Source organism: Homo sapiens, chromosome 6, assembly GCF_000001405.40.
Source record: "Homo sapiens chromosome 6, GRCh38.p14 Primary Assembly".
Taxonomy (NCBI): Eukaryota; Metazoa; Chordata; class Mammalia; order Primates; family Hominidae; genus Homo; species Homo sapiens.
Genome location: NC_000006.12, coordinates 64,305,669 through 64,321,022, shown reverse-complemented (window position 1 = coordinate 64,321,022; position 15,354 = coordinate 64,305,669). Strand labels below are relative to the sequence as shown.

At 35.3% G+C, this 15,354-nt stretch overlaps 1 protein-coding gene across 2 annotated transcripts in view; it reads left to right on the top strand.

The window, feature by feature from the left end:
- The window catches only part of EYS (eyes shut homolog), a 1,987,247-nt gene that overhangs the window by 1,386,204 nt on the left and 585,689 nt on the right, over positions 1-15,354 (top strand). For both annotated transcript variants that reach the window (NM_001142800.2, NM_001292009.2), the window contains exon 30: positions 13,941-14,053. In NM_001142800.2, the coding sequence (NP_001136272.1) occupies positions 13,941-14,053 (113 nt within the window). The remainder of the gene's footprint in view (positions 1-13,940; positions 14,054-15,354) is intronic.

Genomic DNA, 15,354 nt, shown 5'->3' with positions numbered 1-15,354 from the left:
TTTTTTTGAGTAGGGAATCAGGGTAATAGTAAGGGTTTGGTACTGGAAACTGTTCATTCCATTATTATAAGCCATGTGGAATTTTTCGTTTAAAAATAGCATATTTATTTTATGTTACAAGCCAAGTAGAATTTATTTTTTAAAAAGCATATAGGTTTTCTGGCCATGAATGAGTAATTGCTACTACAATATCTTATTTACATAAATAATTGGAATACAGGGAAAAATCTGGAAGAATACAAAATAAAGTAATAATACAATGTCCAAAATTCAATAAACATGATTAAATATGGAAAAAATTTGTGGGAAACTGTGGCCAATAGGATAAAAATGACTCAAAGAAAACCAGTAAGGAAAGAAATCATAGAGATTATATGATCAACGTAAAAGACTTTAAAATTGTCATTATCAATTTGTCTAAGGACTGAAGAAAAATAGGAGAAAAATGGAAACTAAAAAATAAGAATCTAGTATAGAAATAACAAAAAGTCAACTAATAAAGTGAAACAAGTAGAACATCTAAAGATAAAAATATAATACCTCAACTATGTTTGTTTAACAATATATTACACACTGCAGAATAAAAGACCATTAAACTTGACAGGAGTAGAAACTATGCTGAAAGAAAGATATAAAATGGTGGGGAAAAAATGAGCAGAGATTCAACAACCCATAGACTCAATGACCTAAACAGATAAAAATTTCAAGTAACTGGAGTTCCAAAAGATGGAGAGATAAATAAGAACAGAATAACTGTTTGAAGAAATAATAACAAAATTGTCCAGATTTGAAGAAAAATATCAAACAATATATCTAATAATCTTAATAAAACCTAATAAAAAATTTATCACTGACTTCTCATCTCAAACAATGCAAAGCAGAAGACAATGGAACAATATCTTTTAAGTGCTGACTTTAAAAAACAAAAAAACCCTTCAACACAGAATTCCAAATCCAACAAAAAATGTCACTCAAAATAGTATGAATTAATGACATTTTTAGGCCAAAAAATAACCTAAGGGAATGTGCTTTAATTAGAACTATATTATAAGATGTGTTAAAGGAAGCTCTTCAGGTGTCAGGAAAATGATACCAAGTAATAACTTGGAACTGCAAGGCAAATTAAGAGTGCCAGGTGGGGATGAGGCACAATGATGAGGAAAACTGAGAAAAGAATACATCACAACAGCAGCAGCAGCAGGGAAGAAAGGTCTTGTGGCAGCTTAACTGGAATATTCTCTGTAATTTAAGGGGAAATGTCTGTCTTCCTGTCTGTCTGTCTATCTATCTGTCTATCCATCCATCCATCCGTCCATCCATCCATCCATCCATCTGAGATTGCCTGTATTTACACACAGACACACACACATACACACACACATGCACACACATATCTTCAGAAATTTTTCTCTCATAAAAGGTTTAGCCTAATTTAATATATAGTTTTTCAATAGAAGCTTTGTTTTAAAAAAATCTGATGCAGAAATCCAATATCGAGAGCATGTACAAGTAAAATTGTTCCTTAGTAACATGGGAGCAGAAGCCCTATTCACAGTTGTTCTCCTCCTGCTAAACGAAGTTCTTTCAGAAAACGTAGGTTCCTCAGATAATACAGGATGAAAACCATTGATTTAATCAATTGGTATTGCTAGATTTAAGAATCTCATTTTTTTTACATTTCTAAAACTTTTACCTAATTATTAGTAAGATAGGTAGCTAAAAAGATAGATTTCAAAAACAAATAAATAATAAATCTACAATAAAGATGAAACTATTGAAGTTGTTTTTGTAATACCAATTGACTATTTCTTAATTGATTCCAAACCAACTTTATTGGTTTTCAAAGTACACTAATCTAAAAAGTCACTTAAATTGGGCTAAATCAGTTACAGTAGACAGCAAAGACTACCATTAAAAAACAGAAGTGGCAATAACAATATAAAGAGAAAGGACTTTACTGATTCAAAAGTAAAAAGAAAGGTTAATACGCACAAAAATATAATTAGATACAATGAATAAGATCTAGTATTTGATAGTATAACAGGGTGACTATAAGTCAGCAATAATTGGTTGTATCTTTTAGATTAACTGAAGGAGTAAAATTGGAACGCTCATAGAACAAAGAAATAATGATTGCTTGAGGTGCTGGATACCCCATTTACCCTAACGTGATCATTACACATTGTAAGTCTGTATCAAAATATCTCATATACCCCACAAATATCTATACCTACTATATATCTATAAAATAAATAATAATTTTTTAAATAAAAAATCACACACATACAAAAATAGATTTTAAAATAAGTTTTAAAATAAATAAATAAAAATAAAAATTTGTTTGGAAAAGGCATTTCAACTCCAAAAAAATTGTTCCTTAATACCAGGTTAACCAATAATTTAGATATTCTTCAAGTAATTGTGTCTAATATGTCAAGAGGATAAAAACATGAAAACTTCTCATACTTTCATGTATTTTCATAGCATCAAATGATTAGATACATGATTTTAAAAAATTGTGATGTGTTTGTATTTAAAATTGTTGAGTTGTAAATCTGGAATATTGTATACAGCAGTCTATATTATCACATCGAATGCCCTCTGTCTAAACTTTGTGTAACTACTACTGATTATTAATATGGAAACTGCTTATACAGTATGGATAATCCACTGACTTCAACTTTCTTTAAAGGAATGAGAGCTAAAGCCATCAAATGCCAGAGAGAGAATTAAATATTGTAATACTAATATGGAGGTAGAATAAAAGGTAACATATTGAAGATATATTTAGAAATGTAAGACAACATGTTTGAAATGAAAAAAGGGAGAATTCTGGGTGTTTTTTTATTATGATCTAAGTTCTGGAGTAATGTACAGAACAAGCAGATTTGTTACATAGGTATACACATGCCATGGTGCTTTTCTCCACCCATCAACCCGCCATCAACTTTAGATATTTCTCCCAATGCTATTCCTCCCCGAGGCCCCCACCCCCTGACAAGCCCTGGTGTGTGATATTCCCCTCTCTGTATCCATGTGTTCTCATTGTTCAACTCCCACTTATGAGTGAGGACATACAGTGTTTGGTTTTCTGTTCTTGTGTCAGTTTGCTGAGAATGATAGTTTCCAGCTTCATCCATGTCCCTACAAAAGCCATGAATTCATGTTTTTCATGGCTGCATAGTATTCCATGGTTTATATGTGCCACATTTTCTTTATCCAGTCTATCATTCATGGGCATTTGGGTTGGTTCCAAGTCTTTGCTATTGTGAACAGTGCCACAATAAACATACGTTTGCATGTGTGTTTATAGTAGAATTATTTATAATCCCTTGGTTACATACCCAGTAAAGGGATTGCTGGGTCAAATGGTATATCTAGTTCTAGATCCTTGAGGAATTGCCACACTGTCTTCCACAATGGTTGAACTAATGTACACTCCCACCAACAGTGTAAAAGCGTTTCTATTTTTTCACATCCTCTCCAGCATCTGTTGTTTCCTGACGTTTAATGATCATAGTTCTAACTGACATGAGACAGTATCTCATTGTGATTTTGATTTGCATTTCTCTAATGACCAGTGAAAATGAGCTTTTTTTCATCTGTTTGGTGGCTGCATAAATGTCTTCTTTGGAGAATTGTCTGTTCATATCCTGTGCCTACTTTTTGATGTTTTTTTTTTTTCTTGTAAATTTAAGTTCTTTGTAGATTCTGAATTTTAGCCCTTTGTCAGATGGATAGATTTTAAAAATTTTTCTCCCATTCTGATGATAGTTTCTTTTTCTGTGCAGAAGCTCTTTAATTAGATGTCATTTGTCTATTTTGGCTTCTGTTGCCATTGCTTTTGGTGTTTTAGTAATGAAGTCTTTGCCATGCCTATGTCCTGAATGGTATTGCCTAGATTTTCTTCTACAGTTTCTTGGTTTTAGATCTTACATTTAAGTCTTTAATCCATCTTGAGTTAATTTTTATATAAGGTGTAAGGAGGGGATCCAGTTTCACCTTCCTGCATATGGGCAGCCAGTTTTCCCAAAACCATTTATTAAATATGGAATCCTTTCCCCATTGCTTGTTTTTATCAGGTTTGTCAAAGATCAGATGGTTGTAGATGTGTGGTGGTATTTCTGAGGTCTCTGTTCTGTTCCATTGGTCTATATATCTGTTTTGGGACCAGTACCATGCTGTTTGTGTTACTGTAGCCTTGTAGTATAGTTTGAAGTCATGTAGCATGATGCCTCCAGTTTTGTTCTTTTTGCTTAGGATTGTCTAGGCTATGTGGGATCTTTTTTGGTTTGATATGAAATTTAAAGTAGTTTTTTTCCAATTCTGTGAAGAAAATCAATGGTAGCTTGATGGGGATAGAATTGAATCTATAAATTACTTTGGGCAGTATGGCCATTTTAGAATACTGATTCTTCCTATCCTTGAGCATGGAATGTTTTTCCATTTGTTTGTGTCCTCTCTTATTTCCTTGAGCCGTGTTTGGTAGTTCACCTTGAAGAGGTCCTTCACGTCCCTTGTAAGTTGTATTCCTAGGTATTTTATTCTCTTTGTAGCAACTGTGAATGGGAGTTCAGTCATGATTTGGCTATTTGTCTGTTATTAGTGTATAGGAATACTTGTGATTTTTGCACATTGATATTGCATCCTGAGACTTTGCTGAAGTTGTTTATCAGCTTCTGGAGATTTTGGGCTGAGACGATGGGGTTTGGTAATACTCAATCACATCATCTGCAAACAGAGACAATTTGACTCCCTCTTTTCCTAATTGAATACCCTGTATTTCTTTATCTTGCCTCATTGCCCTGGCCAGAACTTCCAATACTATATTGAATAGGTGTGGTGAGAGAGGGCATCCTTGTCTTGTGCCGGTTCTCAAAGGAAATGTTTCCAGTTTTTGCCCATTCAGTATGATATTGGCTGTAAGTTTGTCATTAATTGCTCTTATTATTTTGAGATACTTTCCATCAGTACCTAGTTTATTGAGAGTTTTTAGCATGAAGGGTTGTTGAATATTTTTGAAGGCATTTTCTGCATCTATTGAGATAATCATGTGGTTTTTGTCATTGGTTCTGTTTATGTGATGGATTACACTTATTGATTTGCATATGTTGAACCAGCCTTGTATCCCAGGGATGAAGCCGACTTGATCGTGGTAGATAAGCTTTTTGATGTGTGGCTGGATTCAGTTTGCCAGCATTTTATTGAGGGTTTTCTCATCGATGTTCATAGGGATATTGGCCTGAAATGTTCTTTTTGTGTATGTGTCTCTGCCAGGTTTTCGTATCAGGATGATGCTGTCCTCATAAAATGAGGTAGGGAGGTTTCCCTTTTTATCCATTGTTTGGAATAGTTTCAGAAGGAATGGTACCAGCTCCTCTTTGTGGATTACACTTATTGATTTGCATATGTTGAACCAGGCTTGCATCCCAGGGATGAAGCTGACTTGATCGTGGTAGAAAAGCTTTTTGATGTGTGGCTGGATTCGGTTTGCCAGCATTTTATTGAGGATTTTCTCATCGACGTTCATAAGGGATATTGGCCTGAAATGTTCTTTTTGTGTATGTGTCTCTGCCAGGTTTTGGTATCAGGATGATACTGTCCTCATAAAATGAGTTAGGGAGGTTTCCCTTTTTTTCCATTGTTTGCAATAGTTTCAGAAGGAATGATACCAGCTCCTCTTTGTACCTCTGGTAGAATTTGGCTGTGAATCCATCTGATCCTGGACGTTTTTGGTTGGTAGGCTATTAATTACTGCCTCAATTTCAGAAGTTATTATTCAGGGATTTGACATCTTCCTTGTTTATTCTTAGGAGTGTGTATGTGTCCAGAAATTTATTCATTTCTTCTAGATTTTCTAGTTTATTTGTGTAGAGGTGTTTATAGTATTCTCTAATGGTAGTTTGTATTTCTGTGAAATCGGTGGTGATATCCCCTTTATCATTTTTTATTGTGTCTATTTGATTCTTCTCTCTTTTCTTCTTTATCAGTCTGGCTGGTGGTGTATCTAGTTTGTTGATCTTTTCAAAAAACCAGCTCCTGAATTCATTGATTTTTTTGAAGGGTTTTTCATGTTTATATCTCCTTCAGTTCTGCTCTGATCTTAGTTATTTCTTGTCTTCTGCTAGCTTTTGAACGTGTTTGCTCTTGCTTCTCTAGTTCTTTTAATTGTGATATTAGGCTGTCAATTTTAGATCTTTCCTACTTTCTCCTGTGGGCATTTATTGCTATAAATTTCCCTCTACACACTGCTTTAAATGTGTCCCAGAGATTCTGTTGTGTCTTTGTTCTCATTGGTTTCAAAGAACATCTTTATTTGTGCCTTAATTTTGTTATTTACCCAGTCACTCAGGAGCAAGTTGTACAGTTTCCTTTAGTTGTGCAGTTTTGAGTGTGTTTCTTAATCCTGACTTGTAATTTGATTGCACCATGGTTTGAGAGACTGTGTGTTATCATTTTTTTCTTTTGCATTTGCTGAGGAGTGTTTTACTTCCAATTATATGGTCAATTTTAGAATAAGTGTGATGTGGTGCTTATTAATTTTCTGTCTCATTCATCTAATATTGACAGTGGCGTGTTAAAGTCTCCCACTATTATTATGCGGGAGTCTAAGTCTCTTTGTAGGTCTCTAAGAACTTGCTTTATAAATCTGGGTGCTCCTGTATTGGTTGCATATATATTTAGGATAGTTAGCTCTTCCTGTTGCATTAATCCCTTTACCATTATGTAATGCCCTTCTTTGTCTCTTTGGATCTTTGTTGGTTTGAAGTCTGTTTTATCAGAAACTAGGATTGCAACCCCTGCTTTTTTTTTTTTTTTTTTTTTTTTGCTTTCCATTTGTTTAGTAAATCTTCCCACATCCCTTTATTTTGAGCCTGTGTGTGTCTCTGCACATGAAATGGGTCTCCTGAATACAGCACAGCGAAGGGTCTTGACTCTTTGTCCAAATTGCCAGTCTGTGTCTTTTAATTGGGGCATTTAGCCCATTTACATTTAAGGTTAGTGTTGTTATGTGTGAATTTGATCCTGTCATTATGATTCTTGCTGGTTATTTTGCCCATTAGTTGATGCAGTTTCTTCATAGCGTCAGTGGTCTTCACAATTTGGTATGTTTTTGCAGTGGCTGGTACCGGTTGTTCCTTTCCATGTTTAGTGCTTCCTTCAGGAGCTCTTGTGTGGCAAGCTTGGTGGTGACAAAATCTCTCAGCATTTGCTTGTCTGTAATGAATTTTATTTCTCCTTCACTTATGAAGCTTAGGTTGGCTGGATATGAAATTCTCGACTGAAAATTCTTTTCTTTAAGAATGTTGAATATTGGTCCCCACCCTCTTCTGCCAAGAGATCCATCATTAGTCTGATGGGCTTCCTTTTGTGGGTAACCCGACCTTTCTCTCTGGCTGCCCTTAACATTTTTGCCTTCTTTTCAACCTTGGTGAATCTGACAATTATGTGTCTTGGGTTTGCTCTTCTCGAGGAGTATCTTTGTGGTGTTCTCTGTTTTTCCTGAATTTGAATGTTGATCCGCCTTGTTAGGTTGGGGAAGTTCTCCTGGATAATATCCTGCAGAGTGTTTTCCAATTTGGTTCCATTCTCCCCATCATTTTCAGGTACAACAATCAAACCTAGATTTGGTATTTTCACATAGTCCCACATTTCTTGGAGACTTTGTTCATTTCTTTTCACTCTTTTTTCTCTAATCTTGTCTTCTTGCTTTATTTCATTGAGTTGATCTTCAATCTCTGATATCCTTTCTTCTGCTTGATCGATTTGGCTGTTGCAACTTGTGTATGCTTCATGAAGTTTTCTTGCTGTGTTTTTCAGCTCCATCAGGTCATTTATGTTCTTCTCTAAACTGGTTATTCTAGTTAGCAATTCGTTTAACCTGTTTTTAAGGTTCTTAGCTTCCTTGCATTGTGTTAGGACATGCTCCTTTAGCTCAGAGGAGTTTGTTATTACCTACCTTCTGAAGCCTACTTCTTCCAATTCATCAAACTCATTGTTCATCCAGTTTTGTTCCCTTGCTGCAAGGAGTTGTGATCCTTTGGAGAAGAAGAGGCATTCTGGTTTTTGGAATTTTCAGCCTTTTGCACTGGTTTCTCCCCATCTTCGTGGATTTATCTATCTTTGGTTTTTGATGTTGGTGACCTTCAGATGGGGTCTCTGAGTGGACGTCCTTTTTGTTGATGTTGATGTTATTACTTTCTGTTTGTTAGTTTTCTTTCTAACAGTCAGTTCCCTCTGCTACTGGTCTGCTGGAGTTTGCTGGAGGTCCACTCCAGATCCTGTTTTCCTTGGTATCACCAGCAGAGGCTGCAGAACAGCAAAGATTTCTGTCTGTTCCTTCCTCTGGAAGCTTCGTCCCAGAGGGGAACCAGCCAGATGCCAGCCAGAGCTCGCCTATATGAGATGCCTGTCAGCCCCTACTGGGAGATGTCTCCTAGTCAGGATACACAGGTGTCAGGGACCCACTTGAGGAGGCAATCTGTCCCTTAACAGAGCTCAAACGATGTGCTGGGAGATTTGCTGCTCTCTTTAGAGTAGTCAGTCAGGGATATTTAAGCCTGCTGAAGCTGCCCCCACAGCCACCCTTTCCCCTAGTTGCTCTGTCCCAGGGAGATGGGGATTTTATCTATAAGTCCCTGACTGGGGCTGATACCATTTGTTCAGAGATGCCCTGCCCAGAGAGGAGGAATCTAGAGATGCAGTCTGGCCACAGCACCCTTGCTGAGGTGCAGTGGGCTCCACGCAGTTCCAACTTACCAGTGGCTTTGTTTACACTGTGAGGGTAAAACCACCTACTCAAGCCTCAGTAATGGCCGAAGCCCCTCCCCCCACCAAGCTCGAGCATCCTAGGTCGACCTCAGATGGCTGTGCTGGCAGCAAGAATTTCAGGCCACTGGATCTTAGCTTGTTGGGCTCCGTTGGGGTGGGACCTGCTGAGCCAGAGCACTTGACTCCCTGGTTTCAGGCCCCTTTGCAGGGGAGTGAATGCTTCCTTCTCGCCGGCATTCCAGGTGCCACTGGGGTATGAAAAAAAAAAAAACCTTCTGCAGCTAGCTCAGTGGCTTCCCCAAAAGGCTGCCCAGTTTTGTGCTTGAAACCCAGGGCCCTGGTAGCATAGGCACCAGAGGGAGTCTCCTGGTCTGCCGGTTGTGAAGACTGTGGGAAAAGCACAGTATCTAAGCCAGAGTGCACCGTTCCTCCCGATATAGTCTCTTATGGCTTCCCTTGGCTAGGGGAGGGAAATCTCCTGACCACTTGTGCTTCCCGGGTGAGCTGACACCCCATCCTGCTTTGGCTTGCTGTGGGCTGTACCCACTGTCCAACCAGTCCCAATGAGATGAACTAGGTACCTCATTTGGAAATGCAGAAACCACCTGCCTTCTGCGTTGATCTTGATGGGAGCTGCACACCAGAGCTGTTCCTATTCAGCCATCTTGCCAGCGAGCTCGAGAATTTTGTTTTTATTATTAATGCTTAGTACCATGAATTATATTCCTAGTGCTATGATTTGGCATACTACATTGCCATTTTACATTGTTTAGAAATAACCAGGAGTTATTTGTCCTGGATTAATAATAAGAACTATATTTGAGAAATCACAGCAGCACGTGACTACAATTTTTTAAATGAAGATACCATGCAATGGTACCATTCTTATAATCTAATGCAGATAATTATTTCTTGTCTTTAATCTATTATATATATTTTACATTACAAATTGTCATATGAATTGTGTATCTTTGTTTCCCTTCTATTACTTTTAAGACTCCTGTCCCAGAAACCTAATTAACCTGATTATTATAAACACAAATTCAAGGAAAAAAGGTTTCCCAACAGTAGAAATGATCTAAAAACCATGTGCTTTAGAGTTTAGTATTAAGGCTCAGTACTTGAGTTCAGGTTTCACTTATGTTTTACAAAATGAAATGTTAATATATGCTTTATTAATTTTAATAAATTATTTTTATTTAAAAAACTAAATACATTAAATAAAAATCAAAAACAGTATCTACTATCAACTATCACCATTATAAAAACAAGAACCTTTGAAATAAATGAAGATTGGATAAATTTAGCCTTACAGAAAATTTGTTCTTTTGATTTTTAACTTTGAGCTTTTAAATTATACTTTTATATAAATGATAAATTCAACGTGGTTCCAGCACTTAAAGTACACAAAAAAAATTCAGTCCAGTCTTCCCATTTTGTTCACTCATATGCTCAGTTCCCTTTCTCTCTCTCTCTTTTTTTTCACCTTTTAAAATATGTTTTTTCTTTTAACTTCTATTTTAAGTTCAGGAGAACATGTGCAGGTTTATAGGTAAACTGTTGTCCTGGGGGTTTGTTGTACAGATTATTTCATCATTGAGGTATTAAGCCTAGTACATATTAGTTACTTTTCCTCATCCTCTCCCTTCTTCCACCCTCTACCCTCCAATAGGCAATAGACCTAGTGCATGTTGTTCACCTCTATGTATCCAGCTATTCTCATCCTTTAGCTTCCACTTCTAAGTGAGAACATGTGGTATTTGATTTTCTTTTTCTGTATTAGTTTCCTAAGGATAATGGCCTCCAGCTCCATCCATGTCCCTGCAATAGACATGTTTTTGTTCTTTTTCATGGCTGTGTAGTATTCCATTGTGTCTATGTACATTTTCTTTATCCAATCTATTATTGCTGGGTATTTTGGTTGATTCCATGTCTTTGCTATTGTGAATAGTGTTGCAGTGAACATATATGTGTATGGTCTTTATTATAGAATGATTTATATTCCTTTGGGTATGTACCCAGTGATGGGATTGCTGGGTCGAGTGGTATTTCAGTCTTTAAGGCTTTGAGGAATTGCTACATTGCCATCCACGATGGCTGGACTAATTTACACACCCACCAATGGTGTATAAGCATTCCTTTTTCTCCACAATCTTGCCAGCATCTGTTATTTTTTTTTTTATTTTTTTTACTTTTAATAAATAGCCATTTGGACTGGTGTGAGATGGTATCTCATTGTGGTTTTGATTTGCATTTAATTAGTGATGTTGAGCATTTTTTTTTTTTTTTCATGGAGTCTTGCTCTGTCACCAGGCTGGAGGGCAGTGGTACGATCTCGGTTCACTGCAACCTCCTCCTCCAAGGTTTAAGCAATTCTCTTGCCACAGCCTCCCGAGTAGCTGGGACTACAGGTGTGCACCACCATGCCCAGCTAAGTTTTGTATTTTTAGTTGAGACAGGGTTTCACCATGTTGGCCAGGATGGTCTTGATCTCTTGACCTCATGATCCACGTGCCTCGGCCTCCCAAAGTGCTGGGATTACAGGCATGAGCTACCGTGCCTGGCTGAGCTTTTGTTTTTTTACATGATTTTTGGCCACGTGTCTGTCTTCTTTGGAAAAGTGTCTGTTCATGTCCTTTGCTCACATTTTTATAAGAAGGTTGTTTGTATATTTAAAGTGAAAAAAAAAGTGGGAATTTATTTGGAAGCTAAATAACTATTCCGAACAGTACTGCAAAAAGATAATGTGTGATAGAACTAGAGAGTGGTCAGTCTATTAAAACATAAGAAATGAAGAAATTTTGAATTTACTCAAATGTAAAGGCTAATGGCTGGGAAATTTTTTCTTGCCATTTTTCAAAGCCCAAGGTGAATAAATTAATATGCATTTTTAATTCATAATGTGTGAATGAAATTGAATTATAGAATTCTGAGAAGTATCTCAATAGAGTAATCATAGAGTCATTTCCTTTATAGACCATTTTTCATGGCTCTTTAATGTGTTTATATTAATTTAAACATTATCAGTTTCCCCTTTTTTTATCCCTATGAATAATAAGGATCTTAACAGAGAAAAATATGTACTGCAATGTAAACATACTTTTATGCCATTGCTGAGCTATGTCAGATTTAAGTTTGAACATTCACTATCATTATAATCAAAAGCATTTTTATAAGATCATTTTTTTAATAGTAAACTATAATATTTCAGGAGACATAGTCATAAACTTTATTTTTAAATTAAGTATATAACTGCAGTAAAAATAAGAATTAAATCTAAAAATTAAAAACATTAATAAAGCTAGAGAAACTTTAACAATGACAAATCAGTACTTTCCCAACTGCAGCATATAAAAGCCAAATGCTTCCATTAAATAGTTTCTTTGGAATCTACTTGACTTGTTTGTAAACTTACTGTGTGAAATATTGTTTTATTTTCTAGTTCAGTCATTTTTGACGTTTGACAGAGTATTACCAGGTGAGAGTCTTTGCAGTAAATTTGAGCCTATAGCAAACTTTCAAAGGTTCTAAACTATGATTTAAAAAGTGAAATATATTAATCCTGAAATTTCTAAACAAGACAAAGGCCTTATTCTATTATTTATAATATATTCAATAAGATACAAAGTCTTGAGATGCAAATAGTGTATAATTTTAATTCAAAAATTAAGATAACTAATATATTTTTCAGTATGTAAGTTTAATGGTTTCTCTGGTCATAATTTGGTTCACCTAAGCTTGAAATTTTTAGTAATATTAAGAGCTTATCAGAGGACAGCATCTGAATGAATGCTCATTTCTAACTATTAAATTCTGAGCTGTATTCACTTTTACTTTCCCTTTTTCTCATAAATATACATTTAGATACACATGTAATTACTAGTATAATATTGTATGCTCGTAATGATTAGGTTATTTTTGTTCACCAAATTGAATGTTCTTCAATGTACTTCTCTTCTTGTTCTTGGACCCTTAGTATCTTTTTGTTATCATTTTTCCCCAACTTATTCCTAAGGAGGACAGGCTGCAGAACACAAAAGGCATGTAAAATATATCACAAATCTTTATAGATTACTTTGTTAGCTTTGGTCCCTAGAAGAGCAATTCTTCTTAATGTTTTGATATCTGCAGATAAGGCAAGGTAATTGATGTCTGAGAGAAAAAACTGCAAGAAACAGGCCAAAGATGGAAAAATGTAGTGCCTTGATGGGAAGGATGAGTGTATTAGCTTTTCTTCTATTTTTCATTGATAATTTACTGTAATTATGTAATTTTTTCTTTAAGTATTAGTGACTATGTAATCTATACAGTACTAAGATATATAGGCATGAGTAACTTTTGATGAATAAGGTGACATTCTTTCCTACTAATTTTTAAAATAAATTTTATTGTATATATTTAAGGTATGGGCCACATGATGTTATGAGATACATGATGTTATGAGATACATATGGGTAGTAAAATAGTAACTATAGTGAAGCAAATTAACATCCATTATCACATATAGTTACCCATTTTTCATCTGTGTGTAGCAAGAGCAGCTAAAATCTATTCATTCACCAAAAGTCCCAAATACAATGCAATATTTTTAACTATAATCCTCATGTTACACATTAGGTCTGTAGATTTGTTTATTCTAAATATCTGATGCTTTGTATCTCTTGACCTAAATCTGCACATTTTTTCCCCACCCACAGCCTCAGACCTTGCTTGGCTTTATAACCACAGATTTGGTGTCTATTTCTGTGTATTTGAGTTCATTTTGTTAGAGTCTACCTATAAGTGAGATAATCACATATGTTTGTGTCTAACTTATTTCACTTAGCATAATATCTTTCAGTTTCATCCAGGTTGTAACAAATGGCAGGATTTCCTTCTTTTATAAGGTTGAATAGCATTGTGTTTGTATGTACACAAACATAATTTCTTTATAATTTTGCCCATGTTCATTGCAGCATTATTCATAATAGCCAAGATATGGAAAAATCCTATTACTTTTTGGATTGATATTTATGAAAATATTTGAATTACTGTACTATAAATAAGTAGAATAAATCAAATCAGCCTCCAAATCCAGTTGCATACCCTGACCAGTTTGAAGCAAGAATAATATATTCAAGAAAATCATTTAAATTATCTCTACTTCTCTCTCTCTCTCTCTCTCTCAGATGCCTGTACCAGTCAAGAATTTTACTGGCTGCATAGAAGTTATAGAAATAAATAACTGGAGATCTTTCATTCCATCCAAGGCAGTGAAAAACTATCACATTAACAATTGCAGGTAAAATAGCAGTAGTGATTTTTCTAATAACTTGTTCAAATAACCACACCAAAAGATATCATTTCCAATTGAAATAATCTAATGAAGGCTGCACTATATTTCGTTTCTTTGTTTTTGCTTCACATTCCTACGTTCTACTTCACTCTTTTACAGTTTATTGAATTTTTAAGTTATATCCCAATTAAGATGGACCATTACTTATAAAGGGTATCTTTTTTGTGCTATATAAAATATACCATCCAACAAATAATGAGTCACAATCAGAAAACATCTTCTATCAGAGTTAGTTTAAAAATGAAGCATGCTGACAAGCATGCCTGTGTTATATTGTGTGGAGTGCTAAAATACATTCTTTTTCCAAATTATCACTCTCAAAAAGTTGTCCTTGTTCTTCAGTTTCCATTATGGGAGACGTATTTCTTTCAGACTCTGCTTCTGGATACAGAAATCTCCAAACATGGCTTTGAATTGGGTGAACTAAAGAGATAACACATTTGAGACAATATTAGTCATTCATGCATTGGTAAGAAGTGGTTAAAATTTTGTTTCTTCCCTGTTATTAAGAGGGAACTCAGACAATTAAAATGACCCCTTATAAAAGGGGTTATTTTGGGAGTATTATGGTAAATTGGAAACGCAGAAGTAAGATAGCATGGTGAGGTGGGTTATTTGATCACAGGACAGCATAAAAGCTCACATCTTAATCAATGTGAGGTTGCTCCTCATGCAAGCCCAGAGAAGCTCTAGCCATCTGGATTTTTGGACCCTCTTTTCCTTTAGAAGCCCTGTGGGATGACTTGAGCCTCACAGTTTTGATTTGCATTTCCCTAATTATTGTTATTGAGCATCTTTTCATGTATATATTGGATGTTTGTATATCTTCTCTTGAGACATTTCTATTTGATTTTTTGTCCATTTTCGAATTGGATTGTTTCTTTGTTGTTTAGTCTTAGGAGTTCTCTATATATTCTGAATATTAATCCCTTATCAGATATATGATTTGCAAGTCTTTTCTTCCATTCTGAGTTGTCTTTATACTCTGTTAATATATTTTGATGCACAATTTCTTTTTAGTTTTCATGAAGTCTAATGTCTGTTTTTTCTTTCATTGCCTGTGCATTTGGTGTCATATCCATATCCAAGAAATAACTGCCAAATTCTATGTTGTGAGCCTTTTTCCCTATGTTTTCTACTAAAAGCTTTAAAGTTTCAGCTTTTTAATCCATTTTTAGTTAATTATTGTATATGGTGTTAGGTAAGGGTCCAACTATTTGGGTCATTCTGTTGTATGTGGATATCCA